We start from the raw sequence: 19,052 nt of genomic DNA on the forward strand, positions 1-19,052 counted from the left end.
ATCCTAAAACTTAAAGTATAATTAAAAAATGTTAAAAAAAGTTATGAGCTGCTTATTACTCTCTTCCTACCACTTTAACTCTATCTACACATTCTTTGTCCTTGTTCACTATTATATATTTGGTGAATGGGGTACTGAAAATTTGTCTCTATTTTAAAGATTCTCAGATCAAAAGGGACAATATCCAAGTAGATGAGCTGGAGATTCCACACCAAAGAAACCTGATTCACAAAAGACAAGGAAATTCTAGAATTCAAGCTGATACTGTAAAACAATGATACTTTGGCAGGACGGTGTCTAAAAACGGAATGGCTATATGTGATACAAGGAAAGAAATAAATTCTTGTGGCCAGAGGGTTGGATGGCCCCGAAACTTCTGCCCTTCCTAGTTTGTAAATAATTACTTTTTTCCATCAAAATATGGAACTTATATCCCTCCAGTAGAGTTGTGAAACATTTGACAAATGGACTGCAGAGGAAGTACCATTCTAAATTTCTAGTCCAAGTATAAATAAAGCATTAAGGCAACTCCCTCTTTTTTACTCTTGGAGTCTTTCACGAAACTTGCCAAAAGGAGAAAAAAGCCACATGAAAAGTATAAGGTTACAAACAACCACCTCTAGCCATAAGCCCAACTACCATCTGAGTCCAACCGCATAGGAGGTCAGAAGAAAGATCAGAAAACAACCAGGTAAGCCCTATCCAAATGTGATATATAATGAACTGGTGGTTTGTTTAAGCCAGATGTTAGCAACGATTTTTAAGAAAAAGTTACAAACTAAATATTTTAGAATTTGTGATTCATATATGGCATCTGTTTTCACAACCTTTTAAAAATGTGGAAAACATGAATAGTTAGAAGATCATAAAAAACCAGGTCACAAGCAGTGGGAAATTCTTTGTTGATGCTTGTTTTCAGCCACTAACTTTTGTGCTGGTTATGGAAGAACACGTGACCAAAACAATTTATAAACATATTTTAATCATAAAACTGAAATTTAACAGCATATTGAAAACTTTATAGACTATTAGATAATATGGTATAATTTTATTACAGTTTCAAAACAAAATCTGGGAGGTTAAATTTTTTGACCTGATTTCTCAAACAATAAAACAAAATATGAAAATATGTTAAAAACTAAATAACCATGAATTCACTAATTATGGAAATAAATGACAGCATTGCAAGTTTTATTATACTTTAAATATCTTCTAGTTGATCAATTAGATTGCTAGCCTATAAATTCCAAATCACAATAAAATTGTCACCAATAAATTATAGAGTAATGAAGAGTTTAAAAAAATGCATCTGTTCCATTTTGCCTTGCTGAAATCCTTCCTGTTACTTCACAAGAAGATACTTCAATCTCATACACACCAATGTTTGTATATCAAACTCTGCAATTCCTTTGTCTATAACAATAAAATTATTTAATACTGATAATAGTAATTAATTAAACTAATTATTAAGTGCATATTGTGATTATAGCAGGTGCTTTTGGCTTTATGGGAAAAATGAAAACAGCACATGTATTGATGGAGAAAGTAATCTTTAAGCAATAAGATGAACAGATAAAAGAGGTAAAATAGGAAATAACTTTTATTCATATTCACATGGTAATTTTCATAGAGAATCTACTCAGAATATTTGCCAATTGACAAAAAATAAGGTAAGATATGATTAGGTGTCAAGTGAATGTTACCACTAATAATTTAGAAGAGGTATATTTATTGTTAAACTTTAAAAATATATATATTTATTGGCCGGGCGTGGTGGCTCACGCCTATAATCCCAGCACTTTGGGAGGCTGAGGCGGGCGGATCACGAGGTCAGGAGTTCGAGACCATTCTGGCCAACATGGTGAAGCCCTGTCCAAAAAGGTAGCTGGGCATGGCCTGTAATCCCAGCTACTCAGGAGGCTGGGGCAGGAGAATCTCTTCAACCTGAGAAGTGGAGGTTGCAGTGTGATCGTGCCACTGCACTCCAGTCTGGGTGACAGGGTGAGACTGCCTCAAAAAAAAAAAAAAAATGATTTATTGATCTTTTGTATATACCTTTGGTGTAGAAATAAAAATTCAGAAGTGAAATCAGTAATCTGTTATATCATTAGGTTTTCAATTTTTGGTTTCATAGAAAAATTAAATATATGAAGATATAGAGAGACAAATATAGATATATAATATAAATATTTTTCAATTAAAATACAATTTTGGATGTTTGGTTCTAAGAGGGAATATATAAGACATTTTTAAATCTGTATTGTGAGTGATTTTCAAAATTACAATTATTAGCTCTATTTTATCTTTATACGGATCATGTTATCTCAGCAGACAAGTAAATAAGACTCAATTAACAAGTCTTTATATGGAATCTGGCCGGGCGCGGTGGCTCACACCTGTAATCCCAGCACTTTGGGAGGCCGAGGCGGGTGGATCACGAGGTCAGGAGATCGAGACCATCCTGGCAAACACGGTGAAACCCTGTCTCTACTAAAAGTACAAAGAAACATTAGCCGAGCGTGGTGGCGGGCGCCCGTAGTCCCAGCTATTTGGAGGCTGAGGCAGGAGAATGGCGTGAACCCGGGAGGCGGAGCTTGCAGTGAGCCGAGATGGCACCACTGCACTCCAGCCTGGGCGACAGAGCGAGACTCCGTCTCAAATAAATGAATAAATAAGTAAATAAATAAATAAAATATATGGAATCTTTGCTTGAATATCTGTTCTTTTAGATATTTAGCGACAAGGCCATTTCATTCACTTCTTATAAATAAACAATCATATAATATACCAACTATGTTTATTCAATATTGCTGCTTATTTGTTTACATTGTTTTGTCCCTATACTATCAGTTTCACATTGTCTGTTTCCTGATAATCATGCAAAATTTAGATGATCTTTTCCCTACATTCCCTACATTCCCTCATACATAGAAGAGATTGTATTCATATATCGACTCTAAGTGTTCTAAGCAGAATCACCATACAAACCTGGAGGTTTTCTTGAAACTGTGCAAAATGCTTTCAATCATTTACTCTCTAGACACTGTAAAATTTATGCTCAGTATTGTCTTTACATGAGCAGACTGAGAAAATGCGCTTTCCTATTTGTTACAGGAAAAAAGAAGGGCAAAGAATTGGGCATTTATTATTCTGACAAAGAGAAAATGCACACTAACATACTATTTTCTGGTCTATATTTAAAATGCTTACAAACCATAAAGTTCTGCTGCACTCCACTCTTCTGGCAAATTTGTATCTTGTTGGAAGTAGCAATCTTGGCTACTTTTTGTTTAAGCATTCTAACTGGTGAAATTTGAAGGTTAAAACCAAGACAGCAAATAAGTCGTCTCAGTTTTTAAAGCAAAAGTAAGGTTCACTGATTCTACTAACTTTTATAAGGAACTCTTACAACTCAGCAGCAAAAAATCAAATACTCCAATTTAAAAATTGGCTAAGGAATTGCTTGAGTAGACATTTCTCCAAAGAAATGTACAAATGGGCAATAGATATGTGTGTATATGATATGTGTCGTACTATTATTTATCTTATTTTGTTTGAGTGTTTCATCTGTAAAGTGGTAGTAATAATTGTTGTTGGATAATAATGTGAAAATTCAGGCACTTAAATATTTAATAACTAGCAGAGAGTAGGTACTATATAAATGTCAGTTAAATGACTTTCACAAAAATACATGATTGTGATGTTTTCTCTCAGGTGCGGGATTTTCAGTCAAATAGCTATACAGATAATTACACTTTGTTTTAACAGCTTTTTTGTCCACTATGTGTTTGGTCCAATTACCTATGCATATGCACATATTTTTCAGCAATGTTATTTTATTTTGCAGATGTAAATTGTTTTTTCTCTCTTTTACCGCTATTCCTAACTACTACCCCCCTCCCTTGCTCTTCAGAAATTTAATATCATTCTCATTGTAGAAAAATTTGTGTTCATAGTTTTAGGTTGTTGCAAAGAAAATAGGCATAGAAACTTATTTCAAGCAATATAACATATTTGAAGAAGAGTATAAATTAGATCCTAATATATACAGGTTAAGATCATAGCAAGAGGAAGCATTTCAATTATTTTGCCAGAGGATATTAGGGAAATTTCACTAAAAGGAAAAGAAAAAAAAAAAAAAGTAAGGTTATACTATTGCTCTTACAAGGGATTAGTACAACTCTTCCCCAAACCCCAGATTGAGGACTGATTATTAAAGCCTTATGAGGATAAAGTTCAGGGAGTCATCTTTTCTCCATTTTTTCATGTTCAAATATTCATTATTTCAGATGTGATAGTCTGCTATCCAGTTTGACATACTAAAATTCTGCCTTTAGAGAATGTCCTGATATTATATGAATTACTTGGTTTGGGGGAACATCTTTTCTCTGTCTTGATGGTTTTAGGATTACCTAATCCCAAGGATTATATTAAAACCTGCTTAGGTCTGTCTGTGGAAGAAAGTCTCTTTTCATTTTATATATATATATATATATATATATATATATATATATATATATATATATATATTTTAGAGAAAGGGTCTTGTTGTGTTGCCCATGTTTGAGTGCAGGCCTATTTATAGCACACTGAAGCCTTGAACTCTGACCTCAAGCAGTCTTCCCACCTCAGGCTCCTGTGCCCGGCTGTGAAAATCTCCTTTAAAGTCACATGCTATTCTGTTGAAATTCTTTGGCTGGAGAAGTCTTATGACCTTATTCAATTACAGAGTCTCTAATATTATTTCTCACTGATCTAGTGACATAAATGAAATTTCAAACCCAATATTTAAAACTCATTATAGTTATAATTTACCCAATAACTCATAACTATTTTATTCACATCATAATTATCATCCATTTATGACACCTCATGTTAACATAATTGATATTTGATCTTATAATCACAAATGCCATTAGTCAACTATAATAGTCACATTCATCACTAATATAATATTAACTTCCTATGAAGACAATATATAAAATGACCTGAATCGAATTCTATTTGATATTATTATCAACGGCCTGATAGACTAAGAAGATAGTTAATAGCTGCACTATTAAATATTAAGCATTCCCTTCAATAAAATTTACTATTTCAATAGCAGCTATTAGACTATCACATTATGATATTGTTTAATTTTTTAAATTTTTTTCTGATAAACTAATTCTTGTTAGAGTTATGTTCTTAATATCCTGGAATTAAGATTGTTTTCAAAATGTATTAGCCAGTTTAACATGTGAAAACATTAGCAAAACATATAACATTAGACCAGATTATTTTATTGGTTTCAGCATTTATGTTTGGATCTGTCAAGATCCAGTCAGGAGACAGAAACCACAGACCAGAGATTTTCTACTGAATATTTACTGTAAAGTTAAACTAGCTCTTGAACTAAAAGGCTTTTGTAGTTATATACTGCTTTGTATCCAACTATGTTTTCATTTAGTTGCTTAAGACAATCATGACATATTATTTCTCAGGATTCTTATGATTCTGGGCTGACTGGAATCATCTGGGATGTCCTTCTATTCCAAATGGTCCAATTTATGCAGCTCCATTGCCCTGGGAGTTCAGCTGGGCATGAGGATGGAAAATCCAAATGGCTCACCCACATGTCTAGTGCCTTAGTTATGGTAGCTGAGACATCTGGGTGAGGCTCAACTTCACTAGAAGCAGCATAGTTATACTTCTTACGTGGTGGCACAGACCTCGAAGAGAGCAATATAAAGTTGGTAGGTCTCATTTCTGTCCATGCTATTGGTCAAAGCAAGTTGCAGTGTCAACTGGAATTCAAGAAGGGAAGTAAACTGTACTGTATGGAGAGAGTTGCAAAAAAATATAAAAGGGTGGGAGAATAGTTGACAATTGTCATTTAAGAAAAGGCAGAAAAAGGAATATTAAGGTATATGAAGATAGCAACAGCAGAGTGCAGTTACCCACCTAGTGCTGATGAAACAAAGGGAAGAAGTTGAGAAAATTAAAACTTAAAAGGGTAGAGGAGTAGCCAAATGAGGCTGGAACTCAGACTCCTGATCAGAAGGCACTATTCAGCTGGAGCAATGTCTAGGAACCTAACAGAGTTTCCTCATATTTTAAGTATTAGCATATTAAGTCTTTTTTTTTTTAATTATACTTTAAGTTCTAGGGTACATGTGCACAACGTGCAGGTTTGTTACATAGGTATACATGTGCCATGTTGGTGTGCTGTACCCATTAACTCGTCATTTACATTAGTTATATCTCCTAAGGCTATCCCTCCCCCCTTCCCCTACCCCATGACAGGTCCCGGTGTGTGATGTTGCCCTTCTTGTGTCCAAGTGTTCTCATTGTTCAATTCCCACCTATGAGTGAGAACATGGGGTGTTTGGTTTTTTGTCCTTGTGATAGTTTGCTGAGAATGATGGTTTCTAGCTTCATCCATGTCCCTACAAAGAACATGAACTCATCATTTTTTATGGCTGCATAGTACTCTGTGGTGTATATGTGCCACATTTTCTTTATCCAGTCTGTCATTGATGGACATTTGGGTTGGTTCCAAGTCTTTGCTATTGTGAATAGTGCCGCAATAAACATATGTGTGCATGTATCTTTATAGCAACATGATTTATAATCCTTTGGGTATATACCCAGTAATGGGATGGCTGGGACAAATGGTATTTCTAGTTCTAGATCCTTGAGGAATCGCCACACTGTCTTCCACAATGGTTGAACTAGTTTACAGTCCCAACAACAGTGTAAAAGTGTTCCTATTTCTCCACATCCTCTCCAGCACCTGTTGTTTCCTAACTTTTTAATGATCGCCATTCTAACTGGTGTGAGACGGTATCTCATTGTGGTTTTGATTCGCATTTCTCTGATGGTCGGTGATGATGAGCATTTTTTCGTGTGTCTTTTGGCTGCATAAATGTCTTCTTTTGAGAAGTGTCTGTTCTTTTGCTTCACCTACTTTGTGATAGGGTTGTTTGTTTTTTTCTTGTAAATTTGTTTGAGTTCCTTGTAGATTCTGGATATTAACCCTTTGTCAGATGACAATATTGCAAAAATTTTCTCCCATTCTGTAGGTTGTCTGTTCACTCTGATGGGAGTTTCTTTCACTGTGCAGAAGCTCTTTAGTTTAATTAGATCCCATGTCAATTTTGGCTTTTGTTGCCATTGCTTTTGGTGTTTTAGACATGAAGTCCTTGCCCATGCCTATGTCCTGAATGGTATTGCCTAGGTCTTCTTCTAGGATTTTTATGGTTTTAGGTCTAACAGTTAAGTCTTTAATCCATCTTGAATTAATTTTTGTATAAGGTGTAAGGAAGGGATCCAGTTTCAGCTTTCTACATATGGCTAGCCAGTTTTCCCGGCACCATTTATTAAATAGGGAAACTTTCCCCATTTCTTGTTTTTGTCAGGTTTGTCAAAGATCAGATGGTTATAGATGTGTGGTATTATTTCTGAGGGCTCTGTTCTGTTCCATTGGTTTATCTCTGTTTTGGTACCAGTACCATGCTGTTTGGGTTACTACAGCCTTGTAGTATAGTTTGAAGTCAGGTAGCATGATGCCTCCAGCTTTGTTCTTTTGACTTAGGATTGTCTTGGCAATGCGGGCCCTTTTTTGGTTCTATATGAACTTTAAAGTAGTTTTTTCCAATTCTGTGAAGAGAGTCATTGGTAGCTCGATGGGGATGGCATTGAATCTATAAATTACCTTGGGCAGTATGGCCATTTTCACGATATTGATTCTTCCTACCCATGAGCATGGAATGTTCTTCCATTTTTTTGTGTCCTCTTTTATTTCCTTGAGCAGTGTTTGGTAGTTCTCCTTGAAGAGGTCCTTCACATCTCTTGTAAGTTGGATTCCTAGGTATTTTATTCTCTTTGAAGCAATTGTGATTGGGAGTGCACTCACGATTTGGCTCTGTGTCTGTCTGTTATTGGTGTATAACAATGCTTGTGATTTTTGCACATTGATTTTGTATCCTGAGACTTTGCTGAAGTTGCTTATCAGCTTAAGGAGATTTTGGGCTAAGACGATGGGGTTTTCTAAATATACAATCATGTCATCTGCAAAGAGGGACAATTTGACTTCCTCTTTTCCTAATCGAATACCCTTTATTTCCTTCTCCTGCTTGATTGCCCTGGCCAGAACTTCCAACACTATGTTGAATAGGAGTGGTGAGAGAGGGCATCCCTGTCTTGTGCCAGTTTTCAAAGGGAATGCTTCCAGGTTTGCCCATTCAGTATGATATTGGCTGTGGGTTTGTCATAAATAGCTCTTACTATTTTTAGATACATCCCATCAATACCTAATTTATTGAGAGTTTTTAGCATGAAGGGCTGTTGAATTTTGTCAAAGGCCTTTTCTGCATCTATTGAGATAATCATGGGGCTTTTGTCTTTGGTTCTGTTTATATGCTGGATTACATTTATTGATTTGCGTATGTGGAACCAGCCTTGCATCCCATGGATGAAGCCCACTTGATCATGGTGGATAAGCTTTTTGATGTGATGCTGGAATCAGTTTGCCAGTATTTTATTGAGGATTTTTGCATTGATGTTCATCAGGGATATTGGTCTAAAATTCTCTTTTTTTGTTGTGTCTCTGTCAGGCTTTGGTATCAGGATGATGCTGGCCTCATAAAATGAGTTAGGGAGGATTCTCTCTTTTTCTATTGATTGGAATAGTTTCTGAAGGAATGGTACCAGCTCCTCCTTGTACCTCTGGTAGAATTCGGCTGTCAATCAGTCTGGTCCTGGACTTTTTTTGGTTGGTAGGCTATTAATTATTGCCTGAATTTCAGAGCCTGTTATTGATCTATTCAGAGATTCAACTTCTTCCTGGTTTAGTCTTGGGAGGGTGTATGTGTCCAGGAATTTATCCATTTCTTCTAGGATTTCTAGTTTATTTGTGTAGAGGTGTTTATAGTATTCTCTGATGGTAGTTTGTATTTCTCTGGGATCAGTGGTGATATCCCCTTTACCATTTTTTATTGGGTCTATTTGATTCTTCTCTCTTTCTTCTTTATTAGTCTTGTTAGCAGTCTATCAATTTTGTTGATCTTTTCAAAAAACCAGCTCCTGGATTCACTGATTTTTTGAAGAGTTTTTTGTGTCTCTATCTCCTTCCGTTCTGCTCTGATCTTAGTTATTTCTCGCCTTCTGCTAGCTTTTGAATGTCTTTGCTCTTGCTTCCTAGTTCTTTCAATTGTGATGTTAGGGTGTCAATTTTAGATCTTTCCTGCTTTCTGTTGTGGGCATTTAGTGCTATAAATTTCCCTCTACACACTGCTTTAAATGTGTCCCAGATATTCTGGTATGTTGTATCTTTGTTCTCATTGGTTTCAAAGAACATCTTTATTTCCACCTTCATTTTGTTCTGTATCCAGTAGTCATTCAGGAGCAGGTTGTTCAGTTTCCATGTAGTTGAGCAGTTTTGAGTGAGTTTCTTAATCCTGAGTTCTAGTTTGATTGCACTGTGGTCTGAGAGACAGTTTGTTATAATTTCTGTTCTTTTATATTTGCTGAGGAGTGCTTTACTTCCAACTATGTGGTCAATTTTGGAATAAGTGTGATGTGTTGCTGAGAAGAATGTATATTCTGTTGATTTGGGGTGGAGAGTTCTGTAGATGTCTATTAGGTCTGCTTGGTGCAGAGCTGAGTTCAATTCCTGGATATCCTTGTTAACTTTCTGTCCCGTTGATCTGTCTAATGTTGACAGTGGGGTGTTAAAATCTCCCATTATTATTGTGTGGGAGTCTAAGTCTCTTTGTTGGTCTCTAAGGACTTGCTTTATAAATCTGGGTGCTCCTGTAATGGGTGCATATATACTTAGGATAGTTAGCTCTTCTTGTTGAATTGATCCCTTTACCATTATGTAATGGCCTTCTTTGTCTCTTTTGATCTTTGTTGGTTTAAAGTCTGTTTTATCAGAGACTAGGATCGCAACCTCTGCCTTTTTTTGTTTTCCATTTGCTTGGTAGATCTTCCTCCATCCCTTTATTTTGAGCCTATGTGTGTCTCTGCACGTGAGATGGGTCTCCTGAATAAAACACACTGATTGGTCTTGACTCTTTATCCAATTTGCCAGTCTGTGTTAAGTCTTTATTTTACTTCATTCAGTCTTTAATGAAGGCTGGCTTCTCTGAAGGTGTAAGATAGAAATGGTTTTGAGAGTGCTGAAATTAAAAAAACAAACGAACAAACACATGAAATCATGTTCTTACTGAAACAAGTTGTCACTATTACAGTGAATAAAATGGGAAACAACTAGAAAAAGAAAAATCAACAGAAAGCAAGCAGAAAGAAGAAGGTGTCTTTTCTCCCTCGAGCCTTTAGAGCCAGCTGGCAGAAGAGAAATGTGGTTGGTAGAGTGTCCACCCTGGCAACAAAGCAGAATATGGTCCTGAGGTGTTTAAACCTGAGGACAGTAGCCACTTCTGCTTATAAAAAATAAGGAGAATGTATATTACTGTACCTTAGTGAATCATTAAATGGGAAATGCCCTTAATTAGTTTGCAATATGAAATTTTAAGGGTAATATAAGACATGCTCCCTAATATTGACTTTTATAATGTTTCTAATGTTTAATAACCATTAATGAGACATTATATTATAGAAACATTACAACATTTTCCTGCATTAAAAATTCATTAAATTCTATATGCATCTTAAAGTTTCCCAAGAGACTTTCGAAATTAAGTTCAGTGATCATGTTATCTTAACAAATGCATAGTCTTTAAGGATGGCTTCCTATAAAGGTAACATGTATTTAAGGCTTTAAGGTCTATAATGTGTGTGTTTATTGTGTTCTTATCAGCAATATTTACAGTTACACCACAGATTATCATCTGTGTTAATATAAAGAGTGAAATGGTATAGAATTACAAGAAATAGTTTACTACATACTTTAATTAAAGCATAATTATATACACTCAAATATTTAAAATATAAACATATATTCATATAATTTTACATTAAATAATTTGTGATTATGGATTGCAGACCCAACCTACCTATTTGTTTTTAGGAAGCAACAGAAGACTCATATTCATGTCAAATCAACTATAATTGGCAACCCTCTTTCCCCTTTTTTATTCTTCAGCTTTCTCCTAATATTAACAGAAGAAGAGTTTCACTAACTGATGAATAAACTTTAAAAAATGGCTTTTAGGTAACAATCTGTAGGTGGATAATTAGGAATTCAATACTTGAACAAATTTAATTTTTATACCTAGTGTGAAATTAGAACAAGAAATAATTTTAGATGTGCAAAATATTTAAAGGTAAACCTGTTAGCTAAGAAATAGAAATAGGAAGAAAAGAAGAGTTCAAATTGCAAACCCAAGCCTCCCATTTTATTCTATAATTCATGCAGAATGAATTACTTCTAGAACAGGTATGGTTTTTCTAATAGTATTCTGACTAAAGGGCTGTTGCCTAGCATGGCTATAATTACATGATGTCAGTATTCTATGCACTAGGCAGAAATTTTTATTGCATACATCTTTCACAAAGGGCAGCAAGGATTCCACAAAGTCATCAGCTCACATTTCAATTGTTTTAGGCTATATGAATTATTTTGAAGTTAAAAAAAATCAAAGATCACACAGTCATTATGACCTGAAACTATATAATTTTAAGACAAATGTCCCACCTACTTGAGGCGTGGCACAGTTATTCTTGCTTTCTTAAAAATAATAAATAAAAATGGAAAAATATAAAAATAAGAACTAGGGACAGAGGACAAGAACTACAATCATAGTGCCTCAGCCGTCATGAGGAGACATTTGTGTTTTATTGTTCTATATGAAGTAAAGTACAATAAATGATATTTCTACAAATGTTGTCTCTGATCTGCTGAAAACATAAGGGGGAAAGAGGTAAAACCTATTTCCCATAAAAATACTTTCACATTTACATAGGGAGCCACAGCATAGACTCAGAAATAATTCTTCTCTTACCTGGTAGCAAGTATTGGAGATAATACATTCATTTATTTAGAAAACCCTACTAGCATTTTTAGTCTCTTTCTGTGATTTTGGGTGGCCATGAGGAGATTGTAAAGTAGGCTAAATTCTTGTTACATTCAGAAGTACCCACTGCTCTTATGCTGTTCCCTACCTCTATGTGAAATTTAATTACAACATTGTTTTCTGGTTCTGATTCCCTGTCTCATCAACTGAAAACCTTAACAACTGAGGCATGGGAATATTCCCTAGAAGTTGTATATTTTCATCTCAAAAATATTAGTATGCTTTTATTATGTTCAAGAAGCAAGGAAAATGTGTTTATATTTTTTGCAATAGTGGACAAATTTATACTTGCTATTCAAGATTTTAGATATCTGTATGTAAACATTTTAAAACTTTAAAAAAGTACTCAATGTTATAATTGCAATTATTATTATTTATAGTATAAAGAAAAGATAGAAAGTATAAGATATAAAAATGTAGAATGGAACAAGATTAAAGAGAATGTACTCTGAGCCAGAATGCTTGGTTTAAATCTTGGCTATGGCACTGCAAGCATTGGGACCTCAGGCATTTACCCTCTTGGTCTTTTTATTTCTTATATAAATGACAGCAATAATAATATTCTCCTGTAGATATTTTATGAGGCTTACTGGACTGGTGTATTTAAAGCATATTGGAATATTTATAGTAATTATGAGTAATGTAGATATTAAGTATTACCTATAAACCTCCCTATAAACCTCCCTGAGAACAAGGATTTGGGTCAGTTTTGTTTATTTCTGAATTCCTGCCTCCCAGAAGAATGCTTGGTACATAGTTGGCACATGTGCCTGTTCACATGATTTGTATTCCAATTCATACCTTGCTGTTCTGAAAACTGTATTTCCTAGGTTCTTCTGCTCAATGGTTACCATGTGGTTTCAACCAAGGGAAGCACTGTTGGAAGACTAAAGTGAAGGAAAAGGGAAGAAATCATGGCATTCTTAATTCTCTAGTGCCTTCGCGAATGGATTTTTCCCTATATCTGTTCTACTCTGTGTGATACTTGTCCTCCCAGTTGCTGTTCTTTATGTTACTTCATCATCTCTTATTTGTCTTCTCAGCTCTTATGTCAACTATACAATTCCCTGTATACAATATTTCAATGTAAAATACCTAGAATGTTTCTTGTTTCCTTGTTGTCTTGTTTGTCTTGTTTGTACACATTGATTGATGCATTACTTAGTAAATAATTGTTGCTTGAATAAATTAACAAAGTAGCAGTTACATACTGCTACATGTTTATACATTTTGGTTCCTGAAGTTTTGATGTATTACCCCAACGAAAAAGAATTCATATTTTATTGTATACATATTTAATAAAAATGTGTCTTAGAAATCAGGTTTCCTTCCTAATACTGTAATTTTGATAGTAATGAAGCAGAGAGTTATCAGCCTATAATTCTGAAAATAGAAATAATAGAAAAAAGAATATTGATCCCTTATCTATAACAGAGCGGTTACGGTACACACTCTTCTGCATGTTTGTATGATAATCTGGGACTTATCTTGCTTATGTTATTTGTTGCCACATCATTAACCTTCAACTTATATACTATCTTAAATGAGAATTATTCTATCAGTATGGCATCTTGTTTCACAAAATATTATGTTATGTCAATAAATGAATTAATTGCAGGATTTTTTCAGTTGAAAACAATACTAAGTATATCTACATTGAAGCTAACATTGAATTAATTCTCAATCCTTAATTAACTCAGGCTGTCACGATTTCCTGAGCTGCATCATTTAGAGATAACAAGATTCAATGCATTTTCTGTAACTGAACTGTAGGATAGTGTTTGCTGTCAGCCAAATTCCTAATACTCATGAGGACTCCAGGATTGTTCCTAGACTGAGTCTATTTGAGAATATCAGTATGCACAAACAAATCATTAAATGTGATTTGTCCAGAGCTAATTGAAACTATCTTGTATATGGCAATAGTAGTTCAAAAGGGAGGGACAATTTGATACAGATAAAAGATAGTGAAACGGAAGTCAGAAGAACAGAGTATTATCTAAATATTGCCACATACTTTGCTGTGAGACTTAACTCATATGCCAGTTAAGAAGACTGGGTTGGATGACTTCTGAAGTTCACTTCGGTTCCAATGGCCAACCACACAAATGAGCTTTTCTGCTATTTAGGCAGACCTAACATATCATTTGGTCATATAGTTAAGTTATACCTTTAAAACAGAATAATATATTTATTTTATCAACATAAATAAGAAAAATGGTTTCTATTCATTTTTAAGATTTCATAAATATCAATAAAAAATACTTAGACTGAAAGGCAGGTAAACAACTAAGCATTTCTTCCCTGGTGGAGTTAGCCATTCATCATCAAATTGTGTTTATTTATTATTTATACTTAAGTTGTGAACAACAATACCTATTTCTCCAAGCCTCCTTCCAGCACCTCAAAATTAAACTAATCAGCGTATCTATGTTTGGATCCACTTGTAGAACTAAATATATAATCTTCACTGTTTTAAAATACTTGCATTGATTTATAAACATAGTTAATGAAATAAATTAGCCTATGGTTTAACAAATTTTCTTTTAAAATGTAGAAAACTGATGTAGTTAATAATTGCCTTTGCATTAAATAGTATCTAAAATCTAAAGTTGTAGCACATTCTAGTTTATAAGTTTTTTGGAGGATATGATTCTCATCATCTTACTAAAGTATAAGAAATACACTTGACCTTTACTGACGCCCCCTATTGATCCTACGGGTTTCCTTTACTCTATTTAAGAGAAGGTGGTATTATTTGCTTTTTGTAAAAAGTCAAGAAAATAAACTGGGTATCTTGAGCTAAGCTATGTCTGCGACTCTATTGAAAGATAGTTTTCCCTTGTCCTCCACAGGACAGGCACTTCTCTACTATATAGGGATACTTTCCACCACATTGCCTCTGTGTCTAGGTGGATAAACCCTTTTCAATCTTGAGTTCTGTTAGCAGACCTATTTTGATCTTCAAAACAACATGAATGATTAAGCCATTATTAGCAATAAGAGCAATATTGATACCATCATCGGGTATTTCTGTTTTCTCACCTTGCTTAAGGAGGGGACTGTAATTTGGGTTGCTACAAAGTCCTCAACAATTGGACATTGATTAGAAATGCAGATAAGTAAAGCCAGGAATATAATTTCAGACCAAAATAACATGCCAAATGTCTTGTGATGATTCAGGGTACAGAGATCTAGGATTTTAATATATGAACAAGGCATTTCAAACTTGTCCATTTATACTGGCTAATGTGTGGCTGGACAGGCTGTTCAGTAGTTAGATGATTTTAAACTGCTCTGACCAAAGAAGAAACCACATGGTATTTTGACTCCTGCTTGTATTGTGATTATCCACTGGTGAGTCACTGTGAATGCAGATACTGGCATTTGTAGAAATGCAGGACTGCATGACCAGGCTTGGAAAATTTGTAGATAACTTCAGTAGACTGCTATAGTATCAAGGTAGCAAATACTAGCTGCATAAACTTCAGCAAAATACTAGACTGCACATCGTTTTGCAGAGACATGCAACTTCAAAATGCAAGCTGCTAGATCTCTCTACACAGGCACACATATTTTTAAGTAGGCATGGCTGAAGCAAAGGTTTTATTTTTGGAATAATATAGCCTTTTTAACCTTTTAAACTACTTAACTGATGAGTTCTGAGTGAATTACAGATCACTGTCAAAAAATTTAATTAGTGTGAGGTTAGGTAGATAAAATTAGATCTACTTCTCTAAATTCTTTTAGGCACAAATAGATAAGGACATATTTGGAAGCATTAACCTTCAGCTCATGCAGTTTGTCTATGGGATCATGTGTAGGGGGAAAATGGTTAATTTCAAGCTGCCAACATTTAAGTACATAAACATGTAAGCTTACCTATAAAAGTGTGAAAATCTAAAGAGAAGAAAGGTAGTACCTTAAGGAGAAGGCAGTATTAGTAGTAAACTAGTTCTAGATGCTGGTATTTGAACTAGTTACTGGTTCTCTGTAGGTCATAAGGACTTAAGATGCAGATTTGTAAATATCAGCTTCAGTTCAGATTTCTCCTAAATGCTGTTTACAACTTGAAGGCATGTGAACATTAACTGAAAGCCATCCCTAGGAGGCAGTCCTCGTGAACCCTGAAGTTTTAAGCACATTTTCAGCCCAGATATAGAAAACACATAAAGCTAAACAAAAGTCTATATAGGATATTATTCCTAGTTGAATTCAAACTCTTACATTGTTGATTTTAGACAATAGTCGTTAACTGGTTGATAAGCATATGTAGTAGAAAACTAAAATCTGCATTGGCACTTCCTCAAATATCACTAAATTTTTGCTATCATCTTGGGCATCACTGATAAATTTAGCATGGAAAAATAGTTTTGCCTAGATTTTCATTCTCTAGCAGTGTTTTTAACCTTGGTGCTTGTAAGTTCCATAATATTTTTTCCCTGTAAAATAAAAATATGTGATACCTCAAGACTTGGCATTAAGCTAATTCAACCTTTGTGTCTCAGAAAGAAACTGCAGTAATTCCAGTGAAAGAAACCTCATTCCTGAGCTACTGACAGAATTCTACTACCACCTACACTTGGAAAACCATTTGGCTAAGATAAAAAATAATTTAATATTGGGGCAGGTTTTAATTCCTTTGGAATTTCAGCACACAAAGGTAGGATATTTTTATTTCAAACTTGAATTCCTTTGAAATTTAACTAGTGTGAGGATTTAATCTTTGAACTTTGATATTTCCCTGGAAAGTTCATACCACTCAGGGGCTTATATTCAAATTTATAATATGTCTATAATGTTGGGGTTTTTTTTATTAAATGCCTTTATGAATTTTATTATTAGATTTCTTAATGAAATATTTAAACTCATAGAATACCTCCTGATAGGCTATGTTGTATAATCTGCCCAAACCTAATTTGGGATAGATAATTAATAGAAAATAGATTGTTAGCCTTGGAGCAGGGTAGGTTTGGCATAAAAGTTAATTAGAATATTATTCAGATCTATCTCAGAGCCTCAGACAACAAAATATTAACCGTTTTCCAGTGGTCTCAAAAGAGAATGGGTTGGTTTGAGAGTAGTTGTCTCAGGAAAACTTGTGTGAAAAACTTTTAATCACTTACAACAAAGGGGATGACCTAATTTTTGGTAGATCATGGTCCTAATAGTTAAGCCTAATGGGTTATGAAGAAAACAGCTATAGAATAATCATAGGAACATTACTTAGTCTATCTTCCTAAAGGATCTTTCCAAGTAGTAAGAATTCTCATCTTTTTTTAGTAGCGTTATTGAAGTGTAATTGACAGAAAAAGATCTGCACATAGTTAATCTGTACTACTTGATGAGTGTGGGTGTATGCTGACACCACTATCAAGGGAATAGACAATGCCTCCCAAAATTTCCTTGTGTCTTTGTATGTGTGCATGCGTGTGTGTGCATGCATGTGTGTGTGCATGTTATTAGTCAATTTATAAAATTACATGTATCATATACAACATGATGTTTGGAAGTGTATATACATTGTGGAATGACTAAAGCTAGCTAATTAACATATGCATGAGGTATACATGTTAAGTATATCTCTCTCAATATAAGATACACTCTCTTCACAAATTCTGAAGTGCAGAATGTTGTTATTAGCTACTGACAATATGTTGTACAGCAGATCTCTAGAAATCATTCATTAACCATAATTAAAACTTTATACTCATTGAATAACAAGTCCCTATTTTTTTCCAGCCCCAAGCACTAGCAACTACTATTTTATTTTCTGATGAGTTTGACCATTTTGATATCTCATATGATTAGAATCATGTAGTATATGTCCTTCGGTGACTGGTTCATTTCACTTAACATAATACCCTGCAGATTCACCCATGTTGTTGAAAATATAAGAATTTTCACCATTTTTAAGACTGAATAATATTCCATTGTTATCACATTTTTTGATTCCTTTGTCGATGGACAGTTGGAATGTTTGTATATCTTGACTACTATGAATATTGCTGCCAATGAAAAGAGAAGTGCATATATTGCTTCAAAATTCTAATTTCAATTGTTTTGAATATATACCTTGAAGTGAAATTGCTGGATTATATGGCAGTTCTATTTTAAAATTTTCAGGAATCTCCATTCTGTTTTTATATTTGCTGTACCATTTTACATTCCAACCAACAGTGGGAATTTCCACTTTCCCACTGTGGGTTCCAATTTCTTCATTTTGTGCTAACACTTGAAATCTTTGAGGTTATTATCATTATTTTTTATAATTGCCATTCTAAGAGCTGTGAGGTGATATCTCATTTTAGTTTTGATTTGGATTTATCTGATAATTGATGTTGGCCATTTGTATATTTTCTTTAGAGAAATGTCTGCTTATTTTTTATTTTTATTTTTAAATTGACTAATAAAATTATATGTATCATGTACAACATGTTTGGAAGCATATATAAATTGTGGAATGACTAAAGCTAGCTAATTCATATATGCATTACCTCACATAGTTTCATTTTTATGGTGAGAACAATTAACATTCCCTTATTTTGCATTTTTCAGCAATATAATTACATCAAGAAAAACTCTCCCTAACCATGGTTTGCCTCTGCTCTGTCACCACAACAATAATCATCAACACACAAGAAGACTTCTGTGGCCAAATATGTGTGGGATTTTCCCATGCACCAAGCAGTGGATACCAGCTGGGTGTCCTCCAATTCAATTCTGACACAGTCTACCTGGAGATTGTGTCAGAGCCCACGTGTTGGGGGCTCCGTCCCTAAAATTGCCTCTGACACCCTCAGAGAGCAAAGTGCAACCCCAGGCCTCTGGAACATCTGACTGAATGGCTTCAAGCTGGGGTTCCCATTATTACAGGTAGCTAGACTGGCATCAGTGGAGCAGGAGAGGGCTCCCTGCCACCCCACTAGGAACCTTGGGTGATGGTTCAGTAATTATTACACTGACTCTCTAAAAGTGATAAATTTGCAGCTGGTGCCAGGAAGAGGCCATTTCCTGATGGTCCACACCTGT

At 34.6% G+C, this 19,052-nt stretch overlaps 4 long non-coding RNA genes across 4 annotated transcripts in view; 1 reads left to right on the forward strand and 3 right to left on the reverse strand.

Moving 5' to 3' along the window:
• LINC01609 (long intergenic non-protein coding RNA 1609) overlaps positions 1-19,052 on the reverse strand; it is a 137,243-nt gene that overhangs the window by 74,612 nt on the left and 43,579 nt on the right. The gene's annotated exons all lie outside the window — the stretch shown is intronic.
• LOC107986965 (uncharacterized) lies at positions 529-18,698 on the forward strand. Its single transcript, XR_001746031.1, has 3 exons — positions 529-691; positions 16,529-16,683; positions 18,579-18,698. It is a non-coding gene; the product is annotated as an uncharacterized LOC107986965 (long non-coding RNA).
• LOC105375705 (uncharacterized) lies at positions 5,282-6,164 on the reverse strand. The gene is made up of 2 exons (XR_928534.1): positions 5,944-6,164; positions 5,282-5,786 (listed from the first exon to the last, which is right to left on the reverse strand). It is a non-coding gene; the product is annotated as an uncharacterized LOC105375705 (long non-coding RNA).
• Positions 9,003-13,002, reverse strand: LOC107986964 (uncharacterized). Its single transcript, XR_001746030.2, has 3 exons — positions 12,822-13,002; positions 11,001-11,096; positions 9,003-10,163 (listed from the first exon to the last, which is right to left on the reverse strand). It is a non-coding gene; the product is annotated as an uncharacterized LOC107986964 (long non-coding RNA).

The sequence above is a fragment of the Homo sapiens genome, chromosome 8, assembly GCF_000001405.40.
Source record: "Homo sapiens chromosome 8, GRCh38.p14 Primary Assembly".
Taxonomy (NCBI): domain Eukaryota; kingdom Metazoa; phylum Chordata; class Mammalia; order Primates; family Hominidae; genus Homo; species Homo sapiens.